The sequence below is a fragment of the Homo sapiens genome, chromosome 4 (assembly GCF_000001405.40).
Source record: "Homo sapiens chromosome 4, GRCh38.p14 Primary Assembly".
NCBI classification, from domain to species: domain Eukaryota; kingdom Metazoa; phylum Chordata; class Mammalia; order Primates; family Hominidae; genus Homo; species Homo sapiens.
The window spans coordinates 108,669,118-108,688,860 of NC_000004.12; positions in this window are offsets into that span (position 1 = coordinate 108,669,118).

Below are 19,743 nucleotides of genomic sequence, written 5' to 3' on the forward strand. Positions count from 1 at the left end.
TAGGTTTAAAATGTTTTGGGAACATGAAACCAAAATGTCACAGTCTGAGGGAAAGCGTGCCAAGCATTATTAACATAAAAGAGGTTAAATAGGTGAGAGATTAAGTTTACAGATTAAATTGGAAATAAATGAATCTTTGTTTTTGTCACAGGAAAGATCCCCCCAGGGAGAGGATACTAAAATGTAGCTAGAAGTGCAAAATGTTTTAGTAGAGCTTAACTCCAGCGAAAGGAGAAGGAAGGGTGCAGAATTAGGGGAAACTGTCAGACAGTGATGCAGAGTTGACAAAGTTGCTGTCAGCCTAGTGGGAGCTTCGGAGCAGAGACTCCCTGATAGAGTGGTATGTTAGGCAGAAATGGCTAGACCACTGTCCCACTGCATTGTCAGGTAATTGGCTGGGGATCACCTCACCTGGCCAGAAAGTTGAGGTAAACTCTGACAAAGCCAATAACGAGGCTATCAGCTAGCCACAGCTGGGTAGCAAGTCTTGCAGCTGGTAGCACGTCCTTTCTTGAGGGGAGATCTGAGCATCACATCTCTGCCAAAATTTATAAAGAAAACATCCTATTTATAGAATTAAAATGAAGAAGTCCTATATAATTTGCTTAGAATGATTATACTGTGATTACTTGAACTGCAAAGTTAGAAGTAACTTAGGTGCTCAGTAAATGGTACATTTCTGAAGGGTAAAGTTGGAAGAAAAAGATTATTATTTTTGCTTGAATTTTGCTCTGAATAGCAGAGCAGTTGTTCTCATTATGTGCTATTTGCTGGTGCAGAAGATCAGTCTTTGAACATAGTAATAAGAAATATACATTTATTTATTCAAAGGAAGGCATGTGCCAGATGCTGGATTACATCAGAATGAGCAAGAAAAATACAGCATCTGTCCAGGTGGAACTTACAGTCTGGTGAATACACACAAATAGGTAAATTCTCTTTGCTGTAGGAGCAACACCTAAACCCAGATTTGAGGTAAGGGAAGGCTGTAATTTGTTTTTGGAACAATGGGTTACTAATCTGCTTAAAAGTTTCGAGCACTAATACATGTTTGTCCAAATCTTTTACTCGTTTTTCTTACATACTAAGACTTAATTGCAAGGAAGAGAAACTCAGGCTATCTTAAAGAGGATAATATGTTATCCTCTGGAGAAACATGATACTAAAGACGAGTGCAGCAGGGAGTACTAGAACGGGGAATGTGGTACTGGAAGGACTCTTGTTCATTTCTGATATATTGTATGGGTCTGTGTAATGCTTTCCTCTCTATAAAACTGGTCACTTCCAGTTCAGAGTGGTGAGAATCATGACTGCTAACCTATCTTCATTATTATGCTTGACGCCTTCAGCCACCACAGGGGACATTTCTTTGATTCCATAACAGATTCAAAGTCCAGAAGTGCCAGAGAAAAGACTAGTTGACCAGTTTGGTTGATGTATTTACCTGGAGTGTTCTTTCATGTTGGAAAATACATTCAAAGAGTTGGGTTAGGTTGTTGGCTTGTGCTTCAGGGTCTGAACAGTAGAAGCATTAATATGCACCAAGGGATGATAGTACTGGCTTTTCACCATATTTTTTATTTCTTATAACACTGGTAAATTTGCTAAGATGCTTTCATACACCATGTGTGTCTTTGGGTTTTGTCTTATTTTTAATTATCATGGATACATAAAGATTGTACATATTTATGGGGTCCATGTGATATTTTGATACAAGCATACAATGTGTAATGATCAAACCAGGGTAATTGGGGTATCCATTACCTCATGCATTTATCATTGCTTTGCGTTAGGAACATTCCAATTCCACTCTTAGTTACTTTGAAATATACGATAAATTATTTTTCACTATAGTCACCCTATTGTGCTACAGAACACTAGAGCCATCCTTTTATCTAACAACATATTAATTGAAAAAGGTGTCACTTTAAGATTATTAGGATTTTTTTTTTTTTTGAGATGGAGTCTCACTTGCCTCCCAGGCTGGAGTTCAGTGGCGCGCCCTCAGCTCACTGCAACCTCCACCTCCCAGGTTCAAGTGATTTGCCTGCCTCAGCCTCCCAAGTAGCTGGATTACAGGCACATGGCATCACACCCCGCTAATTTTTGTATTTTTTGTAGAGATGGGGTTTCACCACATTGGCCAGGCTGGTCTCGAACTTCTGACCTCAAGTGATCCACCCGCCTTGGCCTCCCAAAGGCGTGAGCCACCACACACAGTCAAATCATTAGAATTTTAAGTAATTCAAATTGGAATGATTAATTCCAATAATTAGAATTAAGTAAATTTAAAGTAAACAATGCTACCATCTCAAAGAGCAAATTAATTGCATTATGTGGTAGCTGTCTAATAGAGTAGCTGCTGGCTATGTATGGCTATTGAGTATTGGAAAGGGAGCTAGTCTGAATTAAGATGTGCTGTAAGTATGAAATGCACATTGGATTTTAAAGACTTCATATCAAAAAGTAAAATATCTCAATATTTGTATGTAGATTACAAGTTGAAATTTTTGTGTATATTGAGTTAAATCTCAAAATTAATTTCATCTTTTTATCTTTTTAAATGTAGCTACTGGAAAAGTTGAAAATTAACATGCAGCTTGCTTATTTCTGTTGGACAACACTACTGTAGACCAGCGGGTCTCAAACAGAGCAGAGAGTTTATGAACACACAGATTGCTGGGCCCTAAAAATTTAGTTCCTAGTTAAGTACCTTTATATTTTGCTTAGAAAGATTATACTGTATTTGTTAATGTTTATTTGAATTGTGAAGTGTGAAGTAACTTTCTGATTCAGTAGGTCTGTATGAGGTCTGAGAGTTTGAATTTCTGACAGGTTCCCAGGTGGTACTGGATGCTGCTGATCCAATGACCACATTTTAAGAACCACTGCTTTAGACCAGGCCCTAAGTAGGGCCAGATAGTAAGTGTTTTAGGCTTGGGGTAGAGGTGAGGGTGGGGAAGTCGCTTAACCCAGAATTCTATAACCAATGAAAATTTTCTTTAAGACTGAAGATGAAATACAATTTTCAAATGAAAGAAAACAAAAAATTCGTTGTCCAAAGACCTGCACTAAAAGAAGCTTTTCAGATTGAAAGGAAATAATGCAAATGGAGATTTAGATCCTTATAAAACAATGGAGGGTGTCAGAAATGGTAGATATATGGGTCAATGCAAAAGGCTTTTTAATTTTTTTCCTGATTTCTTTTTAATACATACAACTTTATAGTAAGAATAACAACTGTATCTTGTTGGGTTTATAATGTACATAGATGTAATACATATAAACATGATAGCATAATGATTAGAAATGGGATTTGGGCCTACAGTTGCAAGGTTGTATTATAGTACATAATATATGTTATTATTATATATAAATATATATATATATTTGAGACAGAGTCTCTGTCATCTAGGCTGGAGTACACTGGCATGATCTCGGCTCACTGCAATCTTTGTCTCCTGGGTTCAGATGATTCTCATGCCTCAACCTCCTGAGTAACTGGGATTAGAGGTGCACACTGCCATACCCAGCTAATTTTTGCATTTTTAGTAGAGACTAGGTTTTGCCGTGTTGGCCAGGCTGGTCTTGAACTCCTGACCTCGAGTGATCTGCCTGCCTTGGCCTCCCAAAGTGATGGAATTACACTGTGCCCAGCCTCACATAATACAAAATTGAGAAGAGGCAGGAAAGGAGGAATAAAAACAAAAAACAGAGGAGACAAATAGAAAACAATAAAATGGTGGGCTCAAACAACCATATCCGTAATTATATTAAATGTTAGGGGATTAAACACTTTAACTGAAAGGTTAAGATTGTCAGGATGGATAAACACACATATACATAATTGTATGCTGTTTATGAGAGACTTACTTTTCATATAAAGACACAGCTCAAAATAAATGGGAAAAGAGATACACTATGCAAACCGTAGCACTAGAAGTTTGGACTGACTATACTAATGTCTACTAAAATAGATTTCAAAACAAAAAGTATCCCCAGAGATAAAATGTATATTTCAATTTCATAATGTCAAAAGAGTGAATTTAGCAGTAAGACATTACAATAATAGATTTGTATGCAGCTAATAACAGACCTTCACCATATACAAAGCAAAAATTGACAAAATTGGAGAGTGAAGCAGTTTCAGAGTTGAATATTTTTACATTTTCTATTTAGAAATTGATAGAACAACAAGACAAGTCATTAACAGGAACCTAGAAGACCTGAATCACACTATCGACCACCTTGATTCAACTTACCTTTTCAAAACTCTACACCCAACAATGGGTGTGCACATCATATGTTTACCATGATAGTCCGTAAGATTGGCCTTAAAGCAGCTGTAATACATTTGAAATGATTGAAAAAAGTTAATCTACCTGAGGATAGACAAATAGGTCAGTAAAACAGAGAAGAGTCCAAAAATTGATGCACACATATATGACCCATTGACTTGGTAAAAGTTCCAAGGCAATTCAATGAGGAACAAATAGCTTTTTTTTTTTTTTTTTTTGAGACAGAGTCTCTCTCTGTTGCCCAGGCTGGAGTGCAGTGGCATGATCTCAGCTCACTGCAACCTCTACCTCCTGGGTTCAAGTGATTCTCCTGCCTCAGCCTCCTGAGTAGCTGGGATTACAGGTGCCTGCTACCATGCCCAGCTAATTTTTAGTAGAGATGGGGTTTTGCCATGTTGGCCAGGCTGTTTTCGAACTCCTGACCTCAGGTGACCTGCCCACCTTGGCCTCCCAAATTGCTGGGATTACAGGTGTGAGTCACCGCTCCCGGCAAGAATAGCCTTTTTAACAAATGGTGCTGGGGCAATTGGATAACCATATGCAAAAAAAAAAAAAAAAAAAAAAAAAACTTCAACGCTTACCTCACCATTTACAAAACTTCATGAATGACATGGATCACAGACTTTAATATAAGAGCCTGAATCATAATACTTCTAGAAGAAAACATGGATGAAAAATGTAGTGACCTTGGGCTTGGCAAAGATTTTTAAATATGATACACAAAAGCATAAGCTATAAATGAAAAGAACATCAATCAACTAGACTGGATTAAAATTAAAAACTTTTTCTTTTCAAAAGATACTGTTAAGAAAATTAAAAGGCAAGCCTCAGGCTGTTGGAAGATACTTGCAAAATATATATCTGACGAATGACTTCTATCTAGTTGTATATGGTTGTGGGGGTGAGGTCTGGGGAGAAGAGTGGGAGGTATGAGAGGGAGGAGTGACAAAAGGTCATAAGGAAACTTTTTTGGGTGATGGATATTTTCATTTTATTTTACTTTTTTTTTTTTAAAAAAAATGTAGGCTACCTTGGTAGTTTATGAAGGAAATCAATAGTATTAAAAATTGGATGTAAAAAATGGATACCATCAGAAACCCATGGATGAAGAGAATGGGAAGCTGCTCATTAAGATCAATTGAACAGGATGCCTCAGGGCATCACCAGGGCCCCAGCCCCTTCCAGTAGCTAAAAATGCAAAGAAAAAGATAGAAGAAGGAAGGAAGGAAGGAAGGAAGGAAGGAAGGAAGGAAGGAAGGAAGGAAAGGGAGGGAGGGAGGGAAGGAGGGGAGGGAAGGGAGGGAGGGAGGGAAAGAAGGAAGGAAGGAAGGAAGGATTATAATACTTAAATTATACTTACAAATTATTTTTCCTGAAATAAGAGATTTGAAACTATTTTGAAAGATCATGTAGTAACCGGAAAAACTGACCGAAAACGATGGACTCCAAGATATATCTTAATAAAATTATTTAAAATTTTAAAATACAGGGGATATTATAAACATACGCCAAAGATTATCCCCCCATATGCCAAGCTTTTCATTAACTTGACTAAAGGTTACAAGTATAGTACTAGGATCCTCTCCTGAATGGACACAGGCCCAGCTGCCTTTTAACCGAGAGAGGTTGGGTTCTATCTGTGAGGAGGCACTGAAAACATTACTGGGCTGATCAGTTCCCCTCAGCTGGCTTTCTAGATGACAAAAATTCTTTTTAATTCACATAGTCTACCAGTCTGTGGGACTTGAAAATAGCCAAGGGAATTCTGGGGAGATAAAAAACGGTCTTGTCTTGACACAGCTTATCAAAGAGCAAAACTCTGGGCTCTATTCAGAAAGTATAGTACTCTATAAATTTAGTTATCTAAGTAAAGTTGAGGAACGTGCCTATGAAGTACCATTTCAAGTGAAGACCAGCTATAACTTCGCATATATACTCATTAGTGAATATAGATTTTAAAAATAGGATGCCACATGGCATCTTTTCCTGACTTTATTAACAGTAGTGTTGGAAGTGCTCTTTTGTGAGTCCAGCCCTACATCACCAAGGACATACCTAGCAAGGAAGTGAGGGTAATATTTTTCTATTTAATGTTTCATAATTCTGGCCTTTTAAAATGTCTGACTTGAAGAAAATAAGTCAGTCATATTCAAGATTAATCTATACAACATGTTTGACGGTATTTTAAGTTTATATTTTTAAATTTAATTAATTGGCAAAAATTGTATATTGTATACATTTACAGTGTACAACATGATGTGCATATATATATATATATATATACACACACACACACACACACACACATTGTGGAATGGCTATGCAAGCTAATTAATGTGTGAATTACCTCACATATTTACCTTTTGTTTTGGTGAAAATACTTAAAATCTACTCTCTCAGTAATTTTCAAGTATACAATATATTGTTATTAACTATATTCACCACGATGTTCAATAGATCTCTTGAACTAATTCCTCCCACCTAACTGAAATTTTGTGCTCCTTGACCAACATCTCCCCAATTCTCCTACTCTCTAGCCTCTAGTAACCACGATTTTACTGTTCAACTTTTCTAGATTCCACATTATATGTTCATTATCTTAATTGTGGCATGGTTTCCAGGACAGAGGTCAAACTTATCAGATTGCACATCTTAAATACATGTAGTTTATTATTTTTTTGAGACAAGGTCTCACTCTGTCACCCAAGCTGGGGTGCGGTGGTGTGTTCACGGCTCTCACTGCAGCCTCCATCTTCTGGGCTCAAGTGATCCTCCCACCTCAGCCTCCCAAGTAGCTGGGACTGTAGGTGCGCACCACTACACCTGGCTGATTTTTTGCATTTTTTAGTAGAGATGAGGTCTCCCTGTGTTGCCCAGGCTGGACTGGGCCTCCAAGCCTCAAGTGATCCTCCCACCTCAACCTCCCAAAGTGCTGGGATTACAGGTCGTGGGTCACCCGGCCTGGCCCAAATATGTGTAGTTTTTAAAAAATGTCAATTATATCTTTAAGCTGTTTTTAAAAAGTCAAGTTTTTTTTAAATTTTTTTGTTTTTTGGTTTGTTTTTGAGACGGAGTCTGGCTCTGTCGCCTAGGCTGGAGTGCAGTGGCGCAATCTCGGCTCACTGCAAGCTCCACCTCCCGGGTTCACGCCATTCTCCTGCCTCAGCCTCCTGAGTAGCTGGGACTACAGGCACACACCACCACGCCCAGCTAATTTTGTTTTTTTTTTTTTCCAGTAGAGACGGGGTTTCACCATGTTAGCCAGGATGGTCTCAATCTCCTGATCTCGTGATCCGCCTGCCTCGGCCTCCCAAACTGCTGGGATTACAGGCATGAGCCATGTACCCAGCCTAAAAAGTCAAGTTTTTAATAGGCCACACCCTTGACTATAAACTTCTACTTCTTCCTTCCTCTTTGCCCATCCCTCAGTCCTGCTGCACCCAGTGGTCTAGCTACCTCTTTACAAGATTACCCGAAGTCCACTTGTTATCAAGTTTATGGAATTTAGTTTAGGTAATTTGTTATAAAATATACAAGAAAATTCAAATTATAATTTCATTAGCCAAAATGAGGTGTGTTCTAACTACTGTTGACATTATCAGTGATGGGAACTTCCTTACCTCTCAAGGTAATCCATTCCATCTTCAGATCACTTTTCTTTTGGAAAGCTTTTTTTTTGTTTTAGTTAATTGGTTTTGGTTCCATCCTTGTGCCTATACAGAACATACTTAGCTGCACACCATAATGATAGCCAGCGTTTCAAATATTAAAAGCCTGTCATGTGCCTCCATTTTTCTCAGGTTAGCTATTTATAGTTTCTCAGGCTCAGAAACATGAGGTCTGGTTCCTTTATGATCACTCTTGTCTAACTGCAGTCTAGGTTCTCTATGTTAATTTGAAAATAAAGTCCCCAAAAGAATATGTACTGCTCTTAGAAAGCATATTAGACCAATATAGCCGTTTTGGTGGCTAAATACGTCTCCTAAGCTATGTTAACCAATTAGATTTGGATTCGTATGCCACCTTTGCCAGTTACCAGCTGTTTCACCTTTAGCAAGTTAAATATTCTCCAAGCCTCACTTTCCTCTTGGTAAAATGAAGATAACAATACCTACCCCATAGGGATGTTCTGATAATTAAATGAGATAATGCACAGCCTCTGGAACATATGAGGTGCTCCACTTATCTGTAGTTATTTTCCCACTCACACCCCATACTTTTTTCAATGCATGATTGTACATTCTCCTCTGGAGATGGAAGTGGTATAAATGTGCATACATTGGCAGGTATGATAAATATAGTTGGATCATGGAATGTCTGCTTTTATTTCTATGTTCATTGAAAACAGTGTTTTTATGATTTATGTTGTATCTGTTGCAGGGGGGAAATAGTTTCAAAGCAGCATGATGCCACCGCTCGACTGAAGGCCAAGGAGCTGCCTTTGGGTAATGGATGGCACCTCCTCTTCATAAAGTCCATTTCTTCAGATGCCTCCTGTGGTGGATGAACCTTTGCATATGTCATTAAGTGCTTATGTTGTCAACTGCTCCATCTCAGAAAAAAAGTTTTCTCTTGACAGTGGAGTGTGAGCACACAGAGCACTCAAGGTCTAACCAGGTTAATAGGTAGGAACAGCTATAAATCAGAGTCCCCAGCACTGTCTGCACTATTTTAACTGAGATGATAGGAAAATAGGTAACAAGTTTAACCCCCCATGGCAACTGCTGTACTGATATCTTCACATACACTTTACACTTGTATAATAACATATTTCAACTTTCAAAAGTGGCCTCACATCTATCATCTCATTTTACTCTAACAAGGACCCCACCCACCTCCCGGATCTTTTAATATCATAACCAGAAAGAGCTGACTAAGTCAACAAGGGAAGGTACCATGCTGGGTGCTTTATACATATGACTTCCAGCGCTGACAACGATCCATTCTGGTAGATATTATTGTCTCCTTGTAATAGGGCCCAGCTGGGATTGAACTGAAGTGTGTCTAGCTCTAAAACCCTTGTACTTTCAACTGGGTCATCATACACTTATCCTATGTTCTAATTCATTATTAAAAGTCAATCTTTCCTATGGATAATGGTTACTTTGAGAGGTGGGGGTAGTGACCAGAAAGGGATGTAAAGGGGGTTGCTGGTAATGTTGTTTTTTCATTTGGATACTACTTAGATGAGCGTGTACCCTTTGGGAAAGCCCACTGAGTTGTACACTTAGGATTTGTGCACTTTATGTATGTTTGTAAGAAATATTTCAATAGGAAACATTTTAAAGCTAGTTTTTCTTTTGAAGGTGTAAGCTTTTTACTTACTTGTCTCCAAAATCTAACTCTTTATGTGCCTGTATGTTGCAGTGGAAAAAGTGAGCTCATGATCATTTTGCTTATTTACAATGGATAAATGAGATCCAAATACACAGAATCAAGGGAAGGAGTTGCTTCTTCTAAGAGTGATGCTTAATCTTTTGGGTCATGGATGAATTGAAGATTTGATTAAAGTTACAATAAAAAGAGAAATAATCAAAGCACGTACATTCTGTATCACGAACGGTGCCAAACTCTTTATATATATTAGCTTCTTTCAGCTGTATCATAACACTGAGAGGTGGATGCTATTATTTCCTTGTTACCCCTCTACCACACACACACACACTCTCTCTCTCACACACACACACACGCTCGCACACACAGAGTTTTCCCTGTTATTTCAGGGAGCTCATGAATGTCCTAAGGTACATTATCCGGAGACACAGCTTAAGAGCCCCTATCAGGTTGAAAAAAAATGACAGAAGAAAAAAATTTTTAAAGCAATGGATTATGGAAAAGGACTCAGATTGTTAATTCAATTAAGTTGTAGTTTGTCATTTTACATTCTTTTGTTTCTCCTATAAAGCTTGATGTCATGTAATTTTTCTTTTCTTTTTTTTTTTGAGACAGTCTTGCTCTGTCTCTCAGGCTGGAGTGCAATGGCACAATCTTGGCTCACTGCAGCCTTGACCTCCGAGCCCAAGCAATCCTTCTGCCTCAGCCTCCCGAGTAGCTGGGACTAAAGTCATGTGCCACCACACCTGGCTAGTTTTTAAATTTTGTTTGTTTGTTTTGTTTTGTAGAGATGAGGTCTCACTATATTGCTCAGGCTGGTCTTGAACTCCTGGGCTCAAGCAATCCTCTCATCTCAGCCTCCCAAAGTGTGGGATTATAGGTGTGAGCCACAGCACATGGCCTCCTTTTACATACATTTTACTTTATAATATTTAATATACTCAAACATATATGAAGCAGTCATACATTATAAAGCATAATAAAATGCATAAAGTCCTGTGAACCTATAACCCAATATAAGAATTAAAATATTGCCAATACTCTTAATACTATCTTTGTATTCTATCCTTATCCACTTCCCTCCCTTCCTTCTAGAAGCATCTACTGCCCTGAATTGGTGTTTATCACATCTTTGCTTTTTTATCTTTGTATTTCAATGCATATAAAAGCACTTCTTTGCTTTTTAAAGAATAGTGTTAACACATATATATGAATACCTAAATATCATTTTGTTTTGCTTGACACATCAATTGAGTTATTGCTTGACACATCAATAATTTAAAGTTGTGGGCCAGGCACGGTGCCTCACGCCTGTAATCTCAGTACTGTGGAAGGCCGAGGCGGGTGGATCACCTGTGGTCAGGAGTTCGAGACCAGCCTGGCCAACACGGTGAAACCCCATCTCTACTAAAAACACAAAAATTAGCCGAGCATGGTGGTGTGTGCCTGTAGTCCCAGCTACTCGGGAGGCTGAGGCAGGGGAATCGCTTGAACTCGGGAGGCGGAGCTTGTAGTGAGCCGAGATCGTACCACTGCACTCTCAGCCTGGGTGACAGAGCGAGACTCCGTCTCAAAAAAGAAAAATAATAATAATAATAATAATAAAGTTGTGTGTTGTATCTTCTACCATGATTGTAATTTTTAAATATATTGTCAGTTTTACAAAATCTGATTGTCATATCTTTCTGGTGAATTCAAGTTTTCATCATTGTGTAGTGACTCTCCTCATAGCATAGTAATTTTTTGTCTCAAAGTTGATGGACTCTCATGTTCATATAGCTGACTCAACCCTTTGCAGATGTTGTTTTGCCATGTATTGTTTTCTATAACTTTCTTTGAAACTTTTTTCGTTCTTATATTTTAGGGGTATCACTTATGAATATCATATAGATTTATTTTTGTTTTATTCTGTCAATCTTGTCTTTTAATGAGTGAGTTCAGTCTACTTTCAGGAATTATGATTACAGATGCTCCTCAATTTACGATGGAGTCATGTCCGAATAAACCCATTACTAGTTGGAAATATAGAAAGTTAAAAATGCATTTAATATACTTAATCTATTGAACATCATAGTTTAACCTAGTCTAACTTAAATATGATCGGAACACTTACATAGCCCCTAGTTAGGAAAAGTCATCTAACACAAAGTTTATCTTATAATAAAGTGTTGAATATCTCACGTAATTTATTGAAAATGCTACTGAAAATGAAAAACAGAATGGTTGTATGGGTACTAGAAGTATGATTTCTACTGAATGTCTATCACTTTCACACTTTCACACTGTCATAAAGTTGTCATAAATTTAACTAATGTAAGTCGGGGACTGTCTGTATTATATATTTGGACTTTTCTATATCTCCTCTTCACTTTATTCTATTTGTCTAACTTTTCAAGGTTTATTTCCCCTTCTAATTATTTTTGAGTTGATAGGAATTTTTAAAAACATCTATAAATGGCAGATTGTCATTTCCAAAAGTGACTGCAGCAGTAACTCCTAACTCATATGTTTTATACAAAGTGACCTTGCTGCTCCTTATTAAGAGAAGATGATTTCTCTTGTTCGTGGAATGTGGCCAGCCTTGTCATCGCTTTTCCTGGTTAAAGATGGCAAAAGTGACTGCCAGTGCTGGGCATAGTTTTTAAACAGCTTGGCAGCTTCTGCTTCCTGCGTCTGAGAATGCTGGTTCTTGGGATGCACCCTCTTGGAACCCAGCTGCAGGATCATGAGCACCCCAAAACACATGGAAAAACCACATGTCGCCAATCCTGTCAACATCAGCTGAGCTCGGAGCTGGCTGCTACAATCAACTGCCAGTCCTGCAAAGGAGCCTTCATGGACATTAGCCCAGCTGCCATCTGACTACAACTGTGTGAGATACCCCAAGGGAGAACTACTCAGCTGAGTCCAGTCAGCCTGCAGGACCTTGGGAAATAGGAATAAACTGTTTTCAGCCACTAAATGTTCGGCTTGCTTTTAATGAGCAATCAAGAACTGGGATGAATGTGTGGCTTTAGGACCAAACAGTGGATTGAAACTTCCAGGGTCTTGAAGAGATGAAAAATAAAAGCCAGAAAGGCCTGGAGAAGACAATGAAAGTGGAGCTGTTGGCCGGGCACGGTGGCTCACGCCTGTAATCCCAGCTCTTTGGGAGGCCGAGGCAGGCGGATAGAGGTCAGGAGATCGAGACCATCCTGGCTAACACGGTGAAACCCCGTCTCTACTAAAAATACAAAAAATTAGCTGGGCACGGTGGCGGACGCCTGTAGTCCCGGCTACTTGGGAGGCTGAGGCAGGAGAATGGCGTGAACCTGGGAGGCGGAGCTTGCAGTGAGCCGAGATCGCGCCACTGCACTCCAGCCTGGGCGACAGAGCGAGACTCCGTCTCAAAAAAAAAAAAAAAGAAAGTGGAGCTGTTGATGCTTCAAGACAGTGAGGTCAATGACCTTAGAGGCTGAAGAGAAGGGACCTTTGTTAGGTAAAGGCGAAATTTGCTAATGCTCTAACCATGTGAGGCAGGGGTGGTGGGAGGGCATAGAAAGGGCACCTAATGAACTCATTGATCCAGCTAGGGAGGAAGTAGAAAGTGCCAAGTCAACTGTCTTGTACTGTATATTGTGAAATATAAGAAGAGACAGATGAACTAAGGTTTGTTCTGTTTCTAAGCTGAATTTAGAGGAAACAGAGCCCAGAACAATCTTTCCAGGCAGCAAATGAAAGCTTGTGTTTTTAAAACAGCTTATCCAAGAAATGCTACTTATTTATTATTATTATTTTTTTTTTTTTTTTTTTTTTTGAGATGGAGTCTCGCTCTGTTACCCAGGCTGGAGTGCAGTGGTGTGATCTCGGCTTACTGCAACCTCCGCCTCCCGGGTTCAAGTGATTCTCCTACCTCAGCCTCCCAAGTAGCTGAGATTACAGGCACACACCACAAGGCCCGGCTAATTTTTGTATTTTTAGTAGAAATAGGGTTTTGCCATGTTGGCCCAGGCTGGTCTCGAACTCCTGACCTCAGGTGATCTGCCCACCTCGGCCTCCCAAACTGCTGGGATTACCAGCGTGAGCCACCGTGCACAGCCTTATTCTTTTTTTTTTTTTTTTTTTTTTTAAAGATTTTGTTGTTAAATTGATGATTAAAATTGTATCTTTGGTACATCACTATCTCTGTCTAAGCACAATAACTTCTAGTTGTATTGCGCTTTTTCAGTTTACAAAGAACTTTTACATACATTATCTCAATTCTCCTGACAATCCCGGTGTGAGGCATGTAGGAAAGTTATTTTTAGTCCACAGTATTAATAGTAGCAACACCCACAGCCACCCTTTCTTTTTCTCCAATTTTGGGATTCCTACTATGTGCCCACCATTATACATTAAATAGGTGATCTTGTATCCTCATGGTAGAATATTATGACTCACACATTAAGGATGAAGGATATTAAGACAGAGATACTTCAACCAAGAAATAGCTAGCAATGGTGGAAACTCCATTTGGACATTAGTTTAACTACAAGTCCAAACTCTCATAATCACCTTTTTTCCTGAGAAGAGCAGGAAGCAATTTTAAACCAGAAAGCATCTTCAATATGTAGATTATTTTCACCTCACAAAATTTCATACTCATTGTATGACAGTCAATGTTTTTCAGAGTTACTCTGTGTGAACTATGATTTTGATAAACTACAGTATTTGACTTTTTCCGCTTCTGGTTGGGAACTTATCAGTGTTGTAAAAAGTGTCTTCATTTGTAAAGTAAGTGGGTTCAGCAGATGATCCCTAATACCCCTTTCCTATTTGATATTCCTTTTAATATTTTATAATTTTCTGAAACATGAGTTTTCTTATCACTATCTGCAGGGCTACAGATTAATTCTTTTTGACCAGCAGATGGGGCTTTTGATACCTGAATAGTACGTAAGTTTACTTGCTGGCTCAGTCATCATTTATTAGTCGTAGGAAGCCTTTATTGAGCGCCTACCATAATGTGCCAGGCATTGGCCTAAGCATAATCCTGCTGCTGCTTTAGATTTACGTAATAATGTTCTTAGGCCTATCTCAAATTATTTTTACGTGTGGTAAAGTTTTCAAAGGACCACTTACCATTTTATTAAGAAGAAACTTCTCCCTGTAGAAGACTGGATTAGGTGATTTCTGAGATGTTTCCCAGTGCTAGCTGCCATGATTTGAGGCCTGGGGTTAAGTGACCTTAGCAGTCCAGGACTCTTTTGTGAAGAAGCTGATATGTCTCATTTTCTGTGGTCTCCAAATACTTCCCAGGAGATCAGTAGCTGGAAAATGTATTTTTAAAAGCAATTGTGATCATAAATAGGGTACAGAAGTCATGAGAAGTTTGATAACATTTTCAAATTATACATAAATTTTTAATTATTAATATATTTTATCTATAAATAGGTAACATCTTTTTACCCTAGGTACCAATTAAGTGATGCTTCAAAACAGGGAGTAGAAAAATCCAGATGTTTCTGAAATTTTTTTTCTCTTTGCCTCTCTCAAAACTCTCTTATAGTTGTCCAGTATTGGTTATTATTTTATAAAAGGCCACACTCAATTGTAGAGTAGTAGTTAGGTGTATTTAACATTTCTAAGTTATAGATGTCCCAAGACAGGGGCTGAACTTAAGCTGGCAATACCACTTAAAACTGCTCGAACAATCAAATAAGATTCATCAAACACTTAGATAACCTCTCAGAGAGAAGCCAGGACAAATTACTAGCTTTTCCATTTAGTAAACCTGGACATGTGTCCCTTTGGAAAAGGCATATTCCCCCTTGGTGTACATGCTTTTTCATGGAGGTACCCGGAGGATGAGTCAACTGTGCAGGTAATCACAGCACGCTCATCATCTGTCTGGACCATGTGGTTTGGTGTCCCATAGCCTGTGTGCCACACCTGGTCAGCATTTTCAGAAGTGCAGACAAGTGGCCCAGAAAAGGAATCTGTATCTCTGGGTCTTTCAGGTCTCGCATGTCGAGGCAGATCTATTTTTTCTTTTCTCTTCCCTTTTTTTTTTTTTTTTTTTTTTGAGATGGAGTCTCATTCATTGCCTAGGCTGAGTGCAGTGGCGCGATCTCGGCTCACTGCAACCTCTGCCTCCCTGGTTCAAGCAATTCTCTGCCTCAGCCTCCCGAGTAGCTGGGACTACAGGCGCCTGCCACCACACCTGGCTAATTTTTGTATTTTTAGTAGAGACATGGTTTCACCATGTTGGCCAGGCTGGTCTCGCACTACTGACCTCAGGTGATCCGCCTGCCTCAGCCTCCCAAAGTCCTGGGATTACAGGCGTGAGCCACCGTGCCTGGCCTACTTTTTCCTTTTCTACCCACCCCACCCCAACCAACCTGTCTCAGTGAAAACCTGGTTGTTACTAAAGTGAAACTTTAATAAGGATATTGCCTAGGGAAGATTAGTTGTTTTCCTTGTCATTCAAGTTCATTCTGGACCTCTTCCTCTGAGCTGTTAATCAGTGTTGCTAAACAGACAGGGAAAGACAAGGGAGAGAAAAATGCTGATTCATTCTTCAGAACTTTTAACCCTTTTAACCCCTAATTCTTCTCCTTGAGAAGCTATTCTTTGATTGTGAAAAGCTTTGTTGTTCAAGGAAATATGGGTAATAAAAATAGCTAACATTTATTAAGAGCATAACATTTATTAAGAGAATACTGTATGCCAGATATTGTTCCAAGCACTTTTCATATTAACTCACTGCATCCTCATAAAATGCTATGAGATAGTACAACTAAGGCCATTTCATAGATGAGAAAACTGAGGTTCAGAGAGATTAAGTCACTTGCCAAAGATTGCACAGGTCCTAGGTGGCAAGCCTGCAGTAGAGATCCATAGCCTCTGCTCCTAACCACAACGGGGTCTTCTAGGAACGTGTCCTTATTTGGCCTCAAAGGAATAATAATCTTTTAATATTTTTTAAAAAAGAGTTGACTAGATTGGAAAGTGCCTAAGTTCAGGGTCTGATTCTATTTCTTAGTTACTTTACAAAATTTTCTGCACCATACCTCTAGCTATATATTCATACCCACTTGTCGTAGCACTTAGAAGTTTTATCAGTTTAGTCTCACTTGCCTTTGCATCTGAGCAATATGCACAATGGTTAGTATCTATTATTATTATTATTATTATTATTAAGACAGAGTCTCACTCTGTCACCCAGGCTGGAGTACAGTGGTGCAATCCCTGCTCATTGCAACCTCCTCCTCCCAGGTTCAAGTGATTCTCATGCCTCAGCCTCCCGAGTAGCTGGGACTACAGGCACGCACCGCCATGCCCAGCTAATTTTTGTATTTTTAGTAGAGATGGGGTTTCACCACATTGGCCAGGCTGATCTGGAACTCCTGACCTCAAGTGATCGCCCACCTCAGCCTCCCAAAGTGCTGGGATTACAGGTGTGAGCCACCATGGCCAAAAAATATATAATATTATATATTACATATATCTTATATCTATCTTGACATATGTTTGGGGACTTATATAGAAATAACTTTTGGAGAATGCTTTAAAGTTTACAAAGGGTATGTTCATTGCTTTACCTATGACTAATTATAGATATTTAACATGGCCTCATTTATTTGAAATTTAGAAAAGTATTTTTTCATATAACTTCCCTTTGGAAGCATGTTAGTTTAATTCTACCCAAACTGTATGTGCAAGATTATATGTACATATGTTTCTTTTGATAATGCAGCTTTTATATTTCATTTTACTAAATTCAGGCATGAGAAGAGGATAAATCAAGGAAATTTACTCATATAGGTGGTTCATGGCTTCAGTAATGAGGTAAGCTATACTATAAACTTAGAAAAATGAGAAACGAGAACCCCTTTATGAAGCTGGTAAAATGTTCCTAAAATAGAGGTGATTCGCTATCTTGGATTATAAGCTGAGAAATCATAATAATGTGGAACTGAAAATTTGGGGAACACCCAACTCCAATCAAGGTGAGCTACGTTTGATCCCCGGGATCTGTTCACTTGTGCTGTGGTGGGTCTGCAGATAGACAGGAGATAGAAGCAGGAGGATCAGGCCAGACCATAAAAAGAAAATCCCCCAAACCAAGGTTTCTCCTGCACTGTCCAGATTAGAAGGAGCCTTTGCAAGATTATTTCAGTAAAGGAAAGAAGTGCCTCAAACTCTTCTTTAAGAGACGTTTTAGGTTCACTCATTTCCCACTGTTTTGGCTCTACTCACCAAAGCCACTTCCTGATTTGATTGGCTAAAGTTTTATTCCTCTGATTAAAATCTTTCAGATAAAATCTTCATGATAAAAGCCCAACTCCTAATAGTGGCCCCAAAGGCCCTGTACATCGCCTCTTCCCCCTCTCCATCCTTTGATCTCATCTCCTAGTCCTCCAGTTCATTCTGTCCATACTGCCTTCCTTACTGTTCCTCAAACACACCAATCACACCCTGCCTCATGGCCTTTCCTCTCCCTCTACCCAGATGGCTCATTCCCTCATTTCCTTCAAGTCTTTGTTCAAAGGTCATTTCTCAATGAAGCTTTCCTTCTCTGTTTAAAAATTACAGCTTCTACCTTTCTAATTTCTTTTCCATAGCACTCAGTGCTGTTTATCATACTATATAATTGCCTTGTTCATTTTATTTATCTAGATTAGAATATAAGCTACATGAAGGCAAGACATAGATCAGTGCCTGGACATAATACATGCTCAATAAATATTCAATGAATTGCTCAATGTAACCCTTCAGGAAAATATAAGAATTGGCTGATTTGCTATAAGCATCTAAGCATCTCAGGACAATTGGAGTTAATTTTTTCTGCCAAATATCTTCCCTGACAACTTTCTTACTCATTGTCTATTCCTCTTTATAACTTGAACTAATCTTTTTTTTTTGAGACGGAGTCTCGCTTTGTCGCCAGGCTAGAGTGGAGTGGCGCAATCTCGGCTCACTGCAACCTCCATCTCCTGGGTTCAAGCAATTCTCCTGCCTCAGCCTCCCGAGTAGCTGGGACTACAGGAGGCATGCCACCACGCCCAGCTAAATTTTGTATTTTTAGTAGAGACGGGGCTTCACCATATTGGCCAGGATGGTCTCGATTTCTTGACCTCGTGATCTGCCCTCCTCGGACTCCCAAAGTGCTGGGATTACAGGCATGAGCCACCTTGCCCAGCCAACTTGAACTAATCTTAACTCTTTATATCCCTAACTTCATCTCTACACATTAAGTCCCCTGATTTTTTTGTAGTCTCTCTCTATGTATATTTTCAGCTTCAGCTTCATTTGCAGCAGACTCATTCTACTGATAATTATAATTCGTCTAGTTTATCGTTCTGAGCCAGGCCTCATGCTTTGGTTATCCACACATTGGAAGCCCACTTCTGATCCAGGCAGTTATACCTAGAGGTGTGTTTTCACAAGGCCACCTCAGACAGGGCTTTGGTTGTGACAAACATCATGTTAGACACTCACGTAAGAAATTGGGATTGGAATTTACAAATTAAATCTCATAAATATGGTCATGTTCTTGAGACTGAATAATTCAAAGTGCATGCAAAACTGCATTTCTGATCGTGTAAAGCTGAGGAACTTCTAGAACCATAGAGGCAATTTTATCAGTTGGAGCCCCTGAGGCCCGCCTGACGATCTGTCAGTAAAACTCCAAAACTTCACGTTAGCTGTCTCTGTTCAGCCATCTTTGGGGCATCTTTGGCTAATTCACTAATCAATGTAAGAAGTAATCAGGTTTGAGTCATTTTCAGACATGAGCTGCCACATTTGACATATAGTTGATTAATGAATACTTAACAAATAATTGACAATAGAGGTCAGGACTGTACATACATTCAAGCTACATAAAAACCAGTCACATAGCCCACACCTTGTTAGGAAACGACTTCTTCATCTAAAATGTTTAGATCATGTGAGATGTTACAAGTAAAATAAATTCTCAACTAATTTGTCTGCCATCTATGCCACTTGAGCCAATGAACATTTAGTAAATTGCTAGAGCTGCTGACTTGTGTTACAGTTCGTGCTTTGGTGTATTTTATAATCTGGTTATGTTTTTCCAAAGCTAATGCAGTGTCAGGATCTGGAATTTTATTCCGTTTGCAAGCTA